Source organism: Homo sapiens, chromosome 11 (assembly GCF_000001405.40).
Source record: "Homo sapiens chromosome 11, GRCh38.p14 Primary Assembly".
In the NCBI taxonomy this organism is placed as follows: domain Eukaryota; kingdom Metazoa; phylum Chordata; class Mammalia; order Primates; family Hominidae; genus Homo; species Homo sapiens.
The window spans coordinates 68,889,709-68,905,256 of record NC_000011.10 but is presented as its reverse complement, the minus strand read 5'-3'; the positions used below and the strand labels follow the sequence as shown (position 1 = coordinate 68,905,256).

The following is a 15,548-nucleotide window of genomic DNA, read 5'->3' as shown; positions in this document are numbered from 1 at the left end:
CTCAGACAAATCCTACCCACATATGGCTGACTGCAAACTCTGGAAGCAGACTGCCTGACAGCAAATCGGGCTACACTGTGTCACCCCGGGGCAAGTTACTTAACCCCTCTCTGTCTCCATCTCCTTAGACGGAAAATGACAGTAACAGAAACCTACACTGCGGCCGGGCACGGTGGCTCACGCCTGTAATCCCAACACTTTGGGAGGCCAAGGCGGGCAGACCACGAGGTCAGGAGATCGAGACCATCCTGGCCAACATGGTGAAACCCTGTCTCTACTAAAAATACAAAAAATTAGCAGGACGTGGTGGCGCGCCTGTAGTCCCAGCCACTCAGGAGGCTGAGGCAGGAGAATCGCTTGAACCCGGGAGATGGAAGCTGCAGTAAGCCGAGATCGTGCCACTGCACTCCAGCCTGGGCGACAGAGAGAGACTCTGTCTAAAAAAAAAAAAAAGAAAAAGAAAAAAAAGAAACTTACACTGTAGGGTTGGCATGGGATGAGGTGTAAAAGAATTAACGCATGGAAAGTACGTAAGTGTTAGCTCTGATTGTTTTGGACAAGTAAATAGTCCCATTCGGAAACAAGCCCGGCTCTCACATGGCTCCCCACACCTCTCAGGACGGCTCCCCACCCTACTCCGCACCCACCAGCTTAACTCCAATTTTCCTTCAGGCACCACTCCCTCCTTGAAGCCACCATGACCCTCCCCAGGGAAGGGCCTTCCTCCTCCAGGCTCTTTCCCCGCGACACGCACGCAGCCGGCCCTGGACGCACTGGAGGGGAAGGGACTCTCTGCTTATGCCCAGCCCGCCGCTGGCCGGATCGGGGGCAGCCAGTGCACCTGACTCATGCTGCCGGGGCCTGACTGAGAATGGGCGCAAACCATGTTTACTGAATGAATAAGGGAAAGGGCTGCTAACTCGCTGCGGGTGGAACTGGGGTCGGGGCCAGGGCCCAGGAGTGTAAGCTTAGTGGGGGGTCTCGGGTCGGGAAATCAAAGTGCTTCTTAAGGGTCCCCAAACGGAACGCGCTGCCCAGGAAGTGATGAGACTGACAACTCGGGAGGTGGCCAAGCAGGGGACGGACGATCCCTGCCCCTGACTCGAAGGGTCGGAGACGAAATTCCCGCCCCAGACTATGAGGCCGAGCCCCTCGGAGACTCTGCCCGGGACACGGCGGGACCGACCGCGAGGGAGCGGCGCCGGCGGCCTCCCGTACCTGCGCTCCTCCACCTCCGCGTCTCTCTCAAGCTCCAGCAGGTCCAGTTGCTTGGTCACGAAGCTCTCCACAGCTGCCGAGGCCATCGCCGCCGCCGGCCTGGGCCCCTAGAAGCCGACGTCCCGCTTCTGCGCCGGGCCGGTGTTACAGCGGACCGGTGTTCCCCGCCGGGCCCGTGCGTTACGCACGCGGTTCGCGTCGTTTCCGTTTCCGGCCGAGGCTGCGGCCATGGCAGCATCTTCCCTGACGGTCACCTTAGGGCGGCTGGCGTCCGCGTGCAGCCACAGCATCCTGAGACCTTCGGGGCCCGGAGCAGGTGAGACCTGGGATATGGGAGGAAGGGAGGACGCAGAGCGAGCGCTGCTCCCTGCGGTCTCGCCACGTATGTGCCTGGGTCCGACCTGGTGCCTTGTGTGTTGATCGCATTTGTGGTGAATATAGCACGGGTTTTGGAGTCGGGGGAACCCAGGTTCAGATTTTGATTCCTTCAGTTAGTAGCCTGAATACTGACAATAGCCCTTGAACTTTGGTATAGGCCCTATGTTATGGGGGAGAAGAGTGAGGCTCAGAGGAGCTAGGTAACGTGCCCAGGGTCACACAGCGGGGAAGTGGAAGAAGAGTACTTCAGGCGCAGTCATTTCGGCTCCAAAGCCTGTGCTTGAACCACTGCCCCCAGGCTGCGAGCTGGTCTGAAAAATGGTGATGGATATCCTCGCCTAATCTGAACTCATTCTGCAAAAGAAACAGCCGTATTTAAGGCGCTGGGCTGATACGAGGCTCCAAAAAGGTTATGTCCGTTAAAAACTCTATAAATCTCTGCTTGAAAATGGTTGGAGTGTGTATTTGTGTGCATGAGTGTTTATGTATGTTTTAAACCTGGGTTTCATGTCTCACCATGACCCCCAAAAATGGAAAACTGGATCTAACTCTATATTGGACGATATTAAAAGAATAGTACCATAATTCCCAAAACTTGGAAGCAACCCAGATGTCCTTCAGGAGATGAATGGTTACATAAACTGTAGGACATCCATACAGTAGAATATTATGCAGCAATAAAAAGAAATGAGTCATGAAGAGACATGGAGGAAACTTACATACATGTTACTAAGTAAAAGAAGCCAACCTGAAAAGGGGACATCTTGTATGTTTCCCACTATGACATTCTGGAAAAGGCAAATCTAAGGAGACAGTAAAAAGTTACATGGGGGGTAAGAGGATTGGGGGAGAAAAGGATAAATAGGTGGAGCTCAGAGGATTTTTAGGGCAGTGAAACTATTCTGTATGATATAATGGTAGATACATGTCATTATAAGTTTGTCCAAATCCATAGAATGTACACTACCAAGGGTGAACCCCTAATGTAGACTATGGACTTTGGATAACAATGATGTGTCAATGTAGGTTCATCAATTGTAAAGATTGTACCACTCTGGTGAGGGATGTTGATAGGAAGCTGTGGGCACATGGACAGGGGACATATGGGAACTCTCTGTACCTTCCACTCAATTTTGGTGTGAAACTAAAACTGTGCTAAAAAATAAAGTCTATTAAGAAATTAATAATAATCACAGAGTTGGGCCAGAGGCAATGTAGATGCCAAAATTGGCCATGAGTTGGTAACTGTTGAACCTGGAAAGGGATAATTGAGAGAGTTCACTATTCTGTTCTCTTTACTTTTGTATGCTTGACATTTTCCATAATAAAACTTAGGTTTAAGTAGGCAGGAAAGTTTTTACAAAAGCAGTGGGACTTACTCCATTCTACCTACCTACATGAAACCACCCCTCCAATGCTATGTTCAAGTACAGACTCACGCATTAGGAGAGAAAGACACACAGTGAAGCGAGTAGAGACAAGGTGACCAAAACAGTGAGCAGCTGGGGCCTTGAAGAGTGAGCAAAGGAGACGTGATGGAAGTACACAGTCACAGTCTCTAGGACTACCTAAAGGAAATCCTGTGGGAGAGGAAGGAGACTGTTTGTTCCCTGGGGACCCAAAAACAAAGCTAGAAGCAAATTAGGTACAGAAGCCTGCTAAGTTTTTAATAGTGGGATGGATTTGCCAATGGGTTGACTGAGTAGTGTGCGAGAGAAGAGTCAAAACTGATGGAGGTTTGGGGCCTGAGCAACTGGGAGGATGAAGTTGCCCTCATGTGAGAGGGAGGAGTGTGGGAGAAGCAGGCATGGGAAGAAATGAGGAGCCTCTGGAGGTGTGAGGTGCTCGTCAGACACGAGTGGCTAAGGCAGATAGATAGGTGGGTATGCAAAACCAGGAGAGAAGCCCTGGCTGGAGGTGTAAACTTGGGAGTCACCAGCACATTGGGGGTGTTTAAATCCATCGGACTGGATGCAGTCACCAGAGGAATGGCCATGGGCGGAGAGGAGGTCAAGGCCAAGGGTTGAGCCCCGGATGCCCAAATGGGAGAGGAGAGGAGAAAGCAGCCGAGGAGATGCAAATGGGGAGCTGGTGCTAATGGGTGAACTTTAAAAAGGTGGTTTTTATGGTGTGTAAATTATAGCTGAGTTTCTTTAAAAGTGGTTATTGAGAAACTGTTCTCTGCTTTTTACACCTAAGCACTTATTTTGATCCCCTGTCTTCTCAGTAGATTGAATGTCTTTGTTTCCTGGTGTATTCCTGGTGTATGCGTTATCTACGGTTACATCAGAAATTACCCCAAAACTTAGCAGCTTAAAACATTTATTAACTCACACCAGTTCTGAGAGCCAGGAACACAGAAGCAGCTTAAGTGGCTGGTTCTGGCTCAGGGTCTTAGCTTGCAGCAAGCAAGTCTGCAGGGGCTGTAGTTATCTCAAGACTCCACTGCGCCAGCGGCTGGAGAATCTACCTGCAAGGTCGTTCCCATGGGTGTTGGCGATAGGCCTAGTTCCCCGCCATGTGGACCTCTAGGTAGGGCTGCTCACAGCAGGGCAGCCCTAAGGCCAGAGATCAGAAAGGGTGAGCACAGGCATCCAAGATGGAAGTCCCAGTTGGTTATCACCTCATCCCAGAAGCCACGTGCTAGCATGTCTGTCACTAGCTGTTGGACACACAGGCCACTCCCAGGGGGCTAACAGGGGTAAGAATAGCAGGAGGCGGGGCCCAGCAGGGCCATCTTGGAGGCTGCTCCCACGCTTGGGCACAGATCAGAGTCTGAACCTACCAGGCACTTAGTCAAGGCATGAGTTAGTGGACGGGTGGTTCTGGTCTCAGGCGCTTGTAGATGATGTGGCTAACTGATCTCAACACATATAACCAGTAGCTGTAAGTGACGTTCTTGTAGTTTTGCTCACCTAGGTGTTTCTGTGGGCAGGCTGTCATGCAGTGGTTCATACCATGTACCAGGAGCAGCAGCTGTGCATTTAGCATCATAAAGGGCAGTTTGCATTTGTAGTATTAATGGTAATGATCTGTGTTTCTCTTCTTCCCTCAGCCTCCCTTTGGTCTGCTTCTCGAAGGTTCAATTCACAGAGCACTTCATATCTACCAGGGTAATATCAAAATGTGGGTTTTGGTGCCTCTTTTCCTTTCATTTGTAGAACCATCTTTCTAAAGTCAAAACTTCCTACCTTTTGGTTCTCAATAATATTTAAATTTCCTCTTTTGTTTTTAAGAGACAGAGTTTCACTATGTTTCCCAGACTGGTTTTGAACTCCTGGCCTAAAGTGGTCCTCCCGCCTCAGCCTCCTGAGTAGCTGGGATTACAGGCATGCACCACCACTTTCAGCTTTAACTTTTTTGACGGTATTTTTCTGAGACCCTTAAAAGAAGACGTAACTGCAAGAGACCAAAGAGAAATTCTGTATGTGTTTGCTCTCTTTTATTATGGAGGAGCTTGAAGTCTTAACTCAAGATTTCTGATGAGGAAGTTTGTATCAGAGTCTCTAAGAGAAACTCATTATTTGAAAAAGCACATTCAGTGTTAAAATTTTATACTTGAGAAAACATTTTTAGGTATCATAAACTGCAGAAAACATTCGACAAAGTTCCACTCACTGGTGGGAGACACAGGAGCAGTGCAGGGATAGCAGTTACTGTAGGGACCCCCCCGGGGTGCAGTTCCGGCTGCCCCTCACAGCCTGGGACGCCAGGCTTCTGCAAGATGGAAGTAATGTTCATTTCTATCTGCATGGGTGTTGGAGAGGATTAAGTAAATGTATACATTTAAAGCTCTTAGAACAGTGCCTGGCATACAGTCAGCACTCACAAAACATTGGCTGCTGGAACTGCTGCTGGGACTCCAGGGATCCTCTGCAGTGGGGAGATGTGGGAGTCTTTCTTGCTTCTCAAAGAAGCGGCAAAACATTCTGAGCATAGGAAGAAGTTGTAAGTGAGCATGTGGGTAGGTTGTGCCTACTACCCCTGTGTCCTGTGTGAGAGGTTAGCACCTTCCTGCCAGCGTGTTCTTCTCACACTGGGCACTGCTGAACCCGTATGGGGAGACTAGACATCAAACAGGTCAAAGACGTTTTGTAGAGAGCAGCACCTTCCTTGTCCTCCTTGTCTCTCAAGGTCATTGACCAACCACAGATCACGGAGTTCATGTCTCTAGGAGCTCCAAGCCCTACCCCACTGGGAAAGCATTCATTCCTCTCCCAGATTGGTGTGGAGCCCCTCCTGCGCGCCAGCCAACAGGACGGGTGGGCCTGGTCTTTGGTGTGGAGGCCGGTGCATTTTGCATATGGAGCAAGTCGTTTTCTTCCTCCTAATGCAACCCTGGAGTAGAAAGACTGAAATTTTACTTTGCAGTGGCAGCAGCAATAAAAGCTTAAAAACGGTTCTGAATAATTCGGTTTGGGATCTACCTACCCTCCCTCTTTGTAGACTACAGAAAGAAAGACCCCACCTCCTTTTGAATCTAGGCCCCCCTCTTTCTTTCCTCCCTTCCTCTCCCCTCCACCTACCTGAGGCTGAGCAGGCAGGGGAGAGTTAGGAAATGAAGAAGATCTTGGGCTGGGCACGGTGGCTCATGCCTGTAATCCCAGAATTTTGGGAGGCCGAGGTGGGCGGATCACTTGAGGCCAGGAGTTCGAGACCAGCCTGGCCAATGTGGCGAAACCCCATCTCTACTAAAAATACAAAAATTAGCCAGATGTGGTGGCATGTGCCTGTAATCCCAGCTACTAAGGTGACTGAGGCAGGAGAATCGCTGGAACCCTGGAGGCAGAGGTTGCAGTGAGCTGAGATCATGCCACCGCACTCTAGCCTGGGTGACAGAGCGAGACTCCGTCTCAAAAAAAAAAGGCATTGCCCGCACCAAGCTTGGCATCCTGAGGGTGGGGAGGGGAAGTGGCTGGGGACCGCAGTGCTATAGCTGCTGAGACTGAGCACTCCTAACACCCGACCCTCACTGGCCATGCTGGGACCGGCTGTGAACAGTAGCCATCTAATACCTAACACAGCCCTTTCAGGCGGGTGCTTGTTTTCCCATTTGCTCAGTTGTAGACACCAGGACACAGAATTGTCTGGGGTTCCGAGCCAGTTCTGCCTGGCACTCACCTGGGTGTGAAGGAAGAGCAGGCACCTACCTAGGAGGAGGTGGAGGTGGAGCAGGGAACGTCATGGTCCTGTTTGAGCAGGATGTGGTGAAGGGTCATTGGAGCTGCCATTCCAGGGCCACTGGATGCCAAGGGAGGCGGGAGAGCTGCTGGCCCTGTGTCCTGGGTTGTGGGGAAAGTAGAGGCAGCCTGTGCCTCCAAGATAAATGTGCCCCAAGACACCACAAGCCCAGCCTTCTTGGATGGGCACCCTTCCAGCACTGAGAAGTACCCAAGTGAGGGCTCTTTTGCAGAACAATGAGAGTTCCTGCTTTGATTATTGAATGATGAGCCATTGTTCCCTGTGGTTCTAAAAGGATACAGGGAGCCTGTCCTCGGGGTTACCCCAGAGGGGCGGGGCCTGTCCGAAAGAGCGAGCCTTTTGTTGCCGGGGATCCCTTCCTAACATTTGTGTGTGGCCATTTCTTAGAGGATTTGAGCTGCCTTTTCAGGTGCTTGTGACATTTGTCTACGAAATGTGTTTTACAGATATGTTCCTAAAACATCCCTGAGTTCACCACCTTGGCCAGAAGTTGTTCTGCCAGACCCAGTTGAGGAGACCAGACACCATGCAGGTAAGACCTCCCTGGGAGACAGAAGCTAGAGGGCACCACCTAGACCCTGCTCCAGTCAGCCACAGAGGTTGTCACCAGGCCACAGAACGAGGCTTCATGTTTCCAGATGCTCCCAGACACAGCACAGTGCCAGCACTCATGTCCATTTTCACCAGTTAACACCAGAATTTCAGATGTTTTTCATTAACTACTCCTTGAACACCTGCCACACTGCAGGCAGGTGGCATAATTGAGGGCAGGGGGCCCCTGCTCCATCTCGTCTGCTTCTGTTGGTGGGTGCAGCGACAGCTCTCCCCAGTTAGCACAGTTAAGCACAATTACTGGAAGCCGGTGCCACCCGGGCTGTTGGAGAAACATGCAGAGGTATCAGGACTCATGTCGACCTGGAGCCCGTGTCAGAAGGGACAGGATCATTAGCCACTCTTGCCATGATCCTCGCTTTCCAGAACACTGGAAATCAAGATCCTCGAGTGGAATCTTCTTATATGTTAAATACCGTTTGAGATTCCGTGCGAGTGAAACAAGTCTGCCAAGAGTTTCACCCTCGGTGCTGGTGCTTCTGGTGTTGACAGTGTTTCCAGGGCAGGCACTCTGTCGTCCCTTCTGTGTGTCTCGCCCTCGGTCAGGCCGGGGGGTCGGTGCCCATTAAATGCTTGTTCAGAGTAAACGGTGCAGAAGAGAGGGGACTGTGACCTGGGTCAGAGCAGAGATAACAGGAACTGAGCACGGAGCCCCTCTGGGCACAGGCGTGCAGGGGGAACGCGTCCTGCCCCAGGGGTGGGATATGGGGTTGGGATACGGGGGGCTCCTCATTGCAAAGTCCTCTCCTTTCGCTTCCTGGGGTTTGCACACTTCTGGTCTGCTGGCTCCTCATTCTCATGAGAATGAACCAGGTGGAGGGTTTCGCCCACCCTAGAGTTGTAGAAACCTAGCCAGGCGTGCCGAGTGCTTAGGCGAGGGAGTTGCATGAGGCGGTTTGGGCGTTCTCTGCAGTCTTGGGGAGCTTCCTTCTGTGAAAGCCCCATGTGCCACAGTGCTGGTGCTCCTGAAGCAGCAGACTGACCCTGTGCCTGCCCTTGTGCCTGCAGGGGGTGGAGCAGGGGCTGGGCCGCCAGCAGTGAGGTGCTCACAAGGGGTGCTGGCTGTCAGGTCCACCCTAGGGCCCCACCACCAGGAGCTGCACATCACACTGCAGCGCGTGGGGGAGCAGGTGAGGGTGACTGCCCACCCACCCGCCTTCCCCTGCAGAGGTCGTGAAGAAGGTGAATGAGATGATCGTCACGGGGCAGTATGGCAGGCTCTTTGCCGTGGTGCACTTTGCCAGCCGCCAGTGGAAGGTGACCTCTGAAGACCTGATCTTAATTGGAAATGAACTAGACCTTGCGTGTGGAGAGAGAATTCGACTGGAGAAGGTGAGACCACCGAGCTTCTCTGGATATTCAGGGACTCAGCCACCAAGTATGTAATCTCCACGCCCCAGCTCACACGGAGGAGGGACCCTCGCCGACCCCGTCTCAGGTGGAGGCCAACAAAGCTGAGGCTCAGAAGGGACTTTGGGGGGCGCCCACGGCGGGGCTGGGGTCCAAGGGCAGGGCAGGCTTCCACTGCTCTGAGGGCGGTGCCTGGCCCAGCAGGTCTGCTCCCTGGAGGAAGGGAGACAGCACATAAAACAGTGCTGAGGGCAGAAACATGTCTTTATTGTGTTCCAGTCTTATTAGTATATTCCCATAGAAAAATGCTTGATTGCAAAGATAATAAAAATCCCGGTTAAGGATGTAGTGCACTTTATAGCCCCTGTCTATGAGGAAAAAACTGTTAAGTTTCTGCTAAGACAGTACTCTGTCATTAGCTTTGACAGCTGCTGCTGTTTTTAAATAGTAAACACTGGTTGACAGGCATTTCCCTGGGTGCTAATTTACCTCACCGACCATTCAAAACTGCATGGTCTAGGCCAGGCATGGTGGCTCACACTGGTGACCCACCACATTGGGAGGCCAAGGTGGGGGATTGCTTGAACTCAGGAGTTCAAGACTAGCCTGGGCAACATGGTGAGACCTCAGAGACCTCATCTCTACTAAAATTCCAAACAATTAGGTGGGCATGGTGGCACACACATGTAGTCCCAGCTATTTGTGGGGCTGAAGTAGAAGGATCATTTGAGCCTGGGAAGTTGAGGCTGCAGTGAGCCGTGATTGGCCACTGCACTCGAGCCTGGGCAACACAGCGAGACCCTGTCTCAAAAAAAACTGCATGGTTTGTCTGTTTATTATTATTTTTCAGACTCAGTCTCGCTCTGTCACCCAGGCTGGAGTGCAATGGCGCAGTCTTGGCTCACTGCAACCCCCACCTCCTGGGTTCAAGTGATTCTCCTGCCTCAGCCTCCCGAGTAGCTAGGATTACAGGTGCATGCCACCACGCCCTGCTAATTTTTATATTTTTAGTTGAGATGGGGTTTCACCATATTGGTCAGGCTGGTCTCGAACTCCTGACCTCAGGTGATCCACCTGCCTTGGCCTCCCAAAGCGCTGGGATTATAGGCATGAGCCAACGTGCCTGGCCAGTCTGTTTATTTAGCTAGGCATTTCTAGCCTTCAGCTATGATTCTATTTGCTGGGGGCGTCTATTTGATTTTTGCCTACTCTTTTTTTTTGTTTGTTTGTTTGAGAAGGAGTTTTGCTCTTGTTGTCCAGGCTGGAGTACAGTGGCACAATCTCGGCTCACTGCAACCTCTGCCTTCCGGGTTCAAGTGATTCTCCTGCCTCAGCCTCCTGAGTAGCTGGGATTACAGGCATGCACTACCATGCCTGGCTAATTTTGTATTTTTAGTAGAGATGGGGTTTCTCCATGTTGGTCAGGCTGGTCTTGAACTCCCAACCTCAGGCAGTCTGCCCGCCTCGGCCTCCCACAGTGTTGGGATTACAGGCGTGAGCCACCACGCCCGGCCTGCCCACTCTTTTTATAAAATTATAATTACCTCTGCAACAGGTAATTTTTCTGGGATGCTTAATTATCAATATAAGTTACATGGTTTTCTTTATGAATTAAAGCTCCTCCTCTGAAGGCAGATGTTTGCATATTTGAAACATTTCACATTAACAAAAAATTCTAGAAAGCCCCTCCTAAGCAGATTGTTTTTTATAACAGGAAACCCAGTGGGAGTGCACATGTCATGCTGAAACAAACTCTAAAAATACTTATTTTATTATTTGTCACTATCTAACATGCGTGTCCGCTGAGTTTGTTATATGATATACTTTGTCTCTAGACATTTAAGTTGAGTATGATTGGATTTTTTCTTATCAGTAAAATTTAAGATGATCTCCAACATCTAATAAAAACACTGTAGGCCGTGCGTGGTGGCTCACGCCTGTTATCCCAGCACTTTGGGAAGCCGAGGCGGGCAGATCACCTGAGGTCAGTTTGAGACCAGCCTAGCCAACATGGTGAAACCCCATCTCTAATAAAAATACCAAAAAAAATTAGCCGGGGTTTGTGGTGGGCGCCTGTAGTCCCAGCTACTCAGGGGGCTGAGGCAGGAGAATCACTTGAACCTGGGAGGCAGAGGTTGCAGCAAGCCAAGATCACGCCACTGCACTCCAGCCTGGGTGACAGAGCGAGACTCTGGGTCACAAAAAGAAGAAAGAACACTGTTGCATTTGGAAGCAAAGATGTCTTCATCTGCAGCCACACTTGGTGTCGTGATTTCCCGGCATTGAGAATGGTTGCCTGGCTCTTGAGAATTTTGCAGTCGTTAAAAGAATACAGGAGAGCCTCAATCATTGCAATATTAGTAGAACTGTAAACTGCGCCAAGAGACACAATGGTATGATTTGTGCTTTTTCTCTCTATGTTATGCTTTGATAGAAAGGGTTTTGTTTTTTTTTGTTTATTTGTTTTCTTTGAGACAGAGTCTCGCTCTGTCGCCCAGGCTGGAGTGCAGTGGTGCAATCTCAGCCTCCTGAGTAGCTGGGACTACAGGTGCATGCCGCCACGCCCAGCTAAGTTTTTGTATTTTTTTAGTAGAGACTAATTTCACCGTGTTAGCCAGGATGGTCTCCATCTCCTGACCTTGTGATCCACCCACCTCGGCCTCCCAAAGTGCTGGGATTACAGGCATGAGCCACCGCACCTGGCCGGAGATAGAAAGGGTTTTTGAAGTCACCGTTGGTATGAGGATTACAGCAGCTATCTGGATGCATATCCATGGTATCTAATAATCAAATTGTGCGTCTCCTCTGAGGGTTGGAGCATTTCCCTTAGGCAGCCCCACGGCTGTGCAGTGCTGCCACTTGTCAGCTCACAGCCCCGGTTGTAGATATTAAAGAGATCATTAGACAGCAGATGAAATTCATGTCACAATGTTTTCAGTCTTTCTCATTTTGTGTGGTGTTGACATCACTACCTGTTATTAGCAACTGTTCTTACTCATCGTAATGAGCCACTGATGAAACACACCTGTTGAATTTTTCAGGTCCTGCTGGTTGGGGCAGACAACTTCACGCTGCTTGGCAAGCCACTCCTCGGGTAATGGCTGTGAAGTGCTGGGCTTTGTCTGGGGCTCCAGGGCTGGACATGCAGACAGTGGTCACAGTGCAATTAGGCCAGGTGGGGAGTTGCATTCATATTCTTTGTTGACACCAAACACAACATTTATACTTAATAATAGTGGACATTTAGGGCCCATGAGAACATCCAGACCAAATTATTGGTCTCTTGCTGTTTCATGACAGTGTGGTCCTCTGAAGATTTGTTCAGACTCCCTGGAACTGTTCTTTGTGGTCCTTTTTCGTGGTTTTCAAAATGTTTCCATTGAGGGCGTATTACTTTTATAATCAACAAAAGAGAAAGTATAACTTCATTTTAGAAATTCTCACCTAAGGCATTTGAAAAATAATCCAAAAGGTACATTATTGTTGATTTTTCTTCCTTCTAGAAAGGATCTTGTTCGAGTAGAAGCCACAGTCATTGAAAAGACAGAATCATGGCCAAGAATCATTATGAGATTCAGGAAAAGGAAAAACTTCAAGAAGAAAAGAAGTAAGTTAGAGAAAGTACCGCTGGGCCCTGTTGCACGGTGCTGGTTGCCCAGGCGCATGCGGACGGAGGGTGTGGGGCACGTGGGTCTCGGGACAGGAAGCCCAGGCAGGTCTCAACCTGGCTGCCACTGCCCACTTGCCACCCTCATCCTAGAGGGAGCACCCAGAGGGTCCAGCCTCGCTCCCCTTCTCCTCCACGCTCCACGCGTGACCCCACCTCGCTCCCCTTCTCCTCCACGCTCCGCACGTGACCCCACCTCGCTCCCCTTCTCCTCCACCCTCCGCGCGTGACCCCACCTCGCTCCCCTTCTCCTCCACCCTCCGCGCATGACCCCACCTCGCTCCCCTTCTCCTCCACCCTCCGCGCGTGACCCCACCTCGCTCCCCTTCTCCTCCACCCTCCGCGCGTGACCCCACCTCGCTCCCCTTCTCCTCCACCCTCCGCGCGTGACCCCACCTCGCTCCCCTTCTCCTCCACCCTCCGCGCGTGACCCCACCTCGCTCCCCTTCTCCTCCACCCTCCGCGCGTGACCCCACCTCGCTCCCCTTCTCCTCCACCCTCCGCGCGTGACCCCACCTCGCTCCCCTTCTCCTCCACCCTCCGCGCGTGACCCCACCTCGCTCCCCTTCTCCTCCACCCTCCGCGCGTGACCCCACCTCGCTCCCCTTCTCCTCCACCCTCCGCGCGTGACCCACCTCGCTCCCCTTCTCCTCCACCCTCCGCGCGTGAACCCACCTCGCTCCCCTTCTCCTCCACCCTCCGCGCGTGAACCCACCTCGCTCCCCTTCTCCACCCTCCACGCGTGACCCCACCTCGCTCCCCTTCTCCTCCACCCTCCACGCATGACCCCACTTTGTTCCAACCCATGACGCCTAGCACTGTCCCCAAAGCAGCAGTGAATCCGCAAGCAGGTGTAGGGCTGTCCTAGCAGGTCTGCACTGAGGACATCCCCCATAGTGGGCATCCTGAGGGATGGCACCCACGGGGCATGGGCCACATAGCTGAGCGGCTGCAGAATTCTGTCCCTCACAGCTCTTGCTATAACTGCAGTTGCCGGCCTAAACCACCAACAGTGGGCATAGTTAAATATACCCAGAATACTGGTATTGGCTGTCACCTTAGAGTCATCTGGGTAGGGGAGCCTCTCATGTACCTTCTGACACTTCCAGGTAGCCTCAAGGTCACTCAGGTGGGGCCATCCTCCCACGCACTCCAGAAGTCACAGCATAGACAGTGTGGGAGGAGAGGTGAGGTGCCAGCGCAGGGCACTCCTGGCCATGAGGCGTCTGGTGTCCCAGCCTCTGCACCTGCCAACAGAGTGAACGAACAAGCTAGCGAGGCAGTCAGTGCACACCTGGAGATAAACACGGCCATGTGCAGCAGGGGACGTTGCCGGGGTCGCGCTGGCTGGGGAGGGCTGTGTGCAGAGCCCCTGCTGTAACTGATGACAACAGTCAGGGTCTGTGGTCAAGCCTGTGACATCCTTTCTTTCAGTCGTCACGACCCCGCAGACTGTCCTCCGGATAAACAGCATTGAGATTGCTCCGTGTTTGTTGTGATTACCGAGTTAATACTTACAAAAGGATAAAAATAAACTCCTGCTTCCCAAGGAGACCAGGTTTCTGTGTTCTGGTTTAAAGCCGTGCATGCCTGTTGTAGATAGTTTAACTGGAGCAGCATGTCTGTAAGCACCAGGCCCCCGAGCCAGAGAAAACAGGAACTCGGGGAGAATGACAAGCATGGCCCTCCCAGGGCTGGATAAATAGTATTCTTGGCAGCCCTCCACCCCATGTGGCGGCGGCAGGGCCCAGGGGAGTGGGGCGGGGACGCAGCTGGGACTTGGAGCTGACATCAAGAGAGGCGCAACCTAGATTCCACGAGATGGACAAGAACAGCAAATTCCATCTGAGTAATCGAAACAGATCTGTCGCCAGCGGGGCTTTTGTAAGGCTGGGGTTCAGAGCAGGTGGCCTCGGGTCCCTGCTCCTGGCCCTTCTGCCTCACACAGTCGAGCAGGGGCAGGGATCACAGTGCAGGGGGAGTGACACAGCGCAGCAGGGATCCAGGAGGGCTGGGCAGGACAGGAGGAGGGACAGCTGGGGAGTGGGCACAGCACATTCTGGGAGCTGACAACAGCAGGGACAGAGCAGAGGCCCAGGCTGTGCTGAACTCAGTCTTGGAAGTAGCAGGCAGACCCAGAGGGCTTGGGCTGCTGGGATCGATAGGGGTGGCTGAGGCAGGCAGCAGGGCCTGCTGGGAGCTACCCAGGTGAGAAGGGACAGGGTCCTGGAGCCAGAGTAGCGAAGGAACCAGCAAAGGGAAGGGCCTGGGCGTGGGGATGAGGGGCTCTCAGATGATGCCAGGCCCCTGGTTTGGTTCATTCACAAAGACAGAGCCATCCTCCAAAAGAAGAGTTAGGGCTTCAAGTGACAAGATACAAACCTGTAATCCGACCCGGCTAAGTATTTTCCCCAGGAGTCCTACAGGGAGTCGCTCTGAGATCTGGAGATAAGAAAACCCCTCAGGTGCCCAGCGCCCTGGTAGGTGCTGGCCCAGCTCCCCCATCGTGTTCTCCGCGTGCAGCAGGGGGCGCCAGCCCAGTGGGCTGAGCGCTCCTGGTCCCGCCCATCCCGGGCATCCTGAATTTGGAGACGTGAGAACCCAGAGAGTCAGGCCTCCAGGGCTCCACATGGGTTGGAGCGAAGCTGGGGGTGGTGGGAGGGACCTGGGGCTGTGGTGTGCTTGCGTCTTTAATGCAGCCACATCTGGAAGTAATAAATTTCTAAATGCGGTAGCTCATGCTATCTCCATCTGAAAGTGATGTCTCTAGAATCATGAGGCCTCGCATCCTTTCCCCTTACCCACCCCCTCTCTAGGTTCTCTCCCAGCCAGCCCAGCAGCGTCTCGTGTGGTCTCTGTTCTATGTGGAGGTTATAGGATGTTTAAGACGGGAATCGTTGGCCTATTCCATATTCTTTGACATAAGCACATCTCCATTTCTTACTATGCTTGAAATAAAAAACAGGTTCTGGAGACTCCTGCTGCAGTCAGGCAGTTCAGCTTGGTGGTGGGGTGGGGTGTAAGCATGGGTTCTGCAGCTAGAGAGCTGAGTGTGAATCCCAGACCCACCGCAGTGAGCTGGGTGTGATCTTGAGCAAGTTACCCAGCCCCTGTCTCATCT

The 15,548-nt window shown here is 52.1% G+C and overlaps 2 protein-coding genes across 8 annotated transcripts in view, besides 3 other annotated features; one reads left to right on the top strand and one right to left on the bottom strand.

Moving 5' to 3' along the window:
• Positions 1–1,366, bottom strand: part of IGHMBP2 (immunoglobulin mu DNA binding protein 2) — a 36,711-nt gene extending 35,345 nt beyond the window's left edge. For all 4 annotated transcript variants that reach the window (NM_002180.3, XM_047426881.1, XM_017017671.3 and 1 more), the window contains exon 1: positions 1,219–1,366. In NM_002180.3, coding sequence (NP_002171.2) covers positions 1,219–1,304 — 86 coding nt within the window. In that variant the 5' untranslated portion in view covers positions 1,305–1,366. The remainder of the gene's footprint in view (positions 1–1,218) is intronic.
• Positions 825–1,552: an enhancer, noted in NCBI's record as "H3K27ac hESC enhancer chr11:68671173-68671900 (GRCh37/hg19 assembly coordinates)". NCBI's record gives its function as "activates a minimal SCP1, AML or CMV promoter by ChIP-STARR-seq in primed H9 embryonic stem cells {active_cell/tissue: H9 hESC(primed)}" and the evidence as "EXISTENCE:reporter gene assay evidence [ECO:0000049][PMID:30033119]".
• Positions 884–943: an enhancer, noted in NCBI's record as "active region_5146". NCBI's record gives its function as "activates an Ori minimal core promoter by ATAC-STARR-seq in GM12878 lymphoblastoid cells {active_cell/tissue: GM12878}" and the evidence as "EXISTENCE:reporter gene assay evidence [ECO:0000049][PMID:35858748]".
• Positions 1,274–1,393: an enhancer, noted in NCBI's record as "active region_5145". NCBI's record gives its function as "activates an Ori minimal core promoter by ATAC-STARR-seq in GM12878 lymphoblastoid cells {active_cell/tissue: GM12878}" and the evidence as "EXISTENCE:reporter gene assay evidence [ECO:0000049][PMID:35858748]".
• MRPL21 (mitochondrial ribosomal protein L21) lies at positions 1,425–13,979 on the top strand. Of its 4 annotated transcripts, none has more exons than NM_181514.2 (7): positions 1,425–1,534; positions 4,652–4,709; positions 7,245–7,330; positions 8,579–8,742; positions 11,802–11,854; positions 12,264–12,367; positions 13,862–13,979. In NM_181514.2, exons 1-7 carry the CDS (start codon positions 1,447–1,449, stop codon positions 13,924–13,926), a joined length of 618 nt encoding a protein of 205 aa, NP_852615.1. In that variant the 5' UTR covers positions 1,425–1,446; the 3' UTR covers positions 13,927–13,979. The 4 variants fall into 4 exon arrangements, 3 of the variants coding, with proteins under 3 accessions (NP_852615.1, NP_852616.1, XP_005273880.1); NM_181515.2 differs by having other exon boundaries at positions 4,652–4,722; XR_247190.5 differs by lacking the exon at positions 13,862–13,979 and having other exon boundaries at positions 11,802–11,935; positions 12,264–12,359.
• Positions 13,980–15,548: the final 1,569 nt, after the last annotated feature.

Excerpts from the sequence above, each read along its gene's own strand:
- MRPL21 (XM_005273823.5), top strand. The coding sequence starts at position 1,447 with ATGGCAGCATCTTCCCTGACGGTCACCTTAGGGCGGCTGGCGTCCGCG. Across the intron at positions 1,535-4,651 it reads ACCTTCGGGGCCCGGAGCAG|CCTCCCTTTGGTCTGCTTCT; the intron begins GTGAGACCTGGG and ends TTCTTCCCTCAG. Across the intron at positions 11,855-12,263 it reads CTTGGCAAGCCACTCCTCGG|AAAGGATCTTGTTCGAGTAG; the intron begins GTAATGGCTGTG and ends TCTTCCTTCTAG.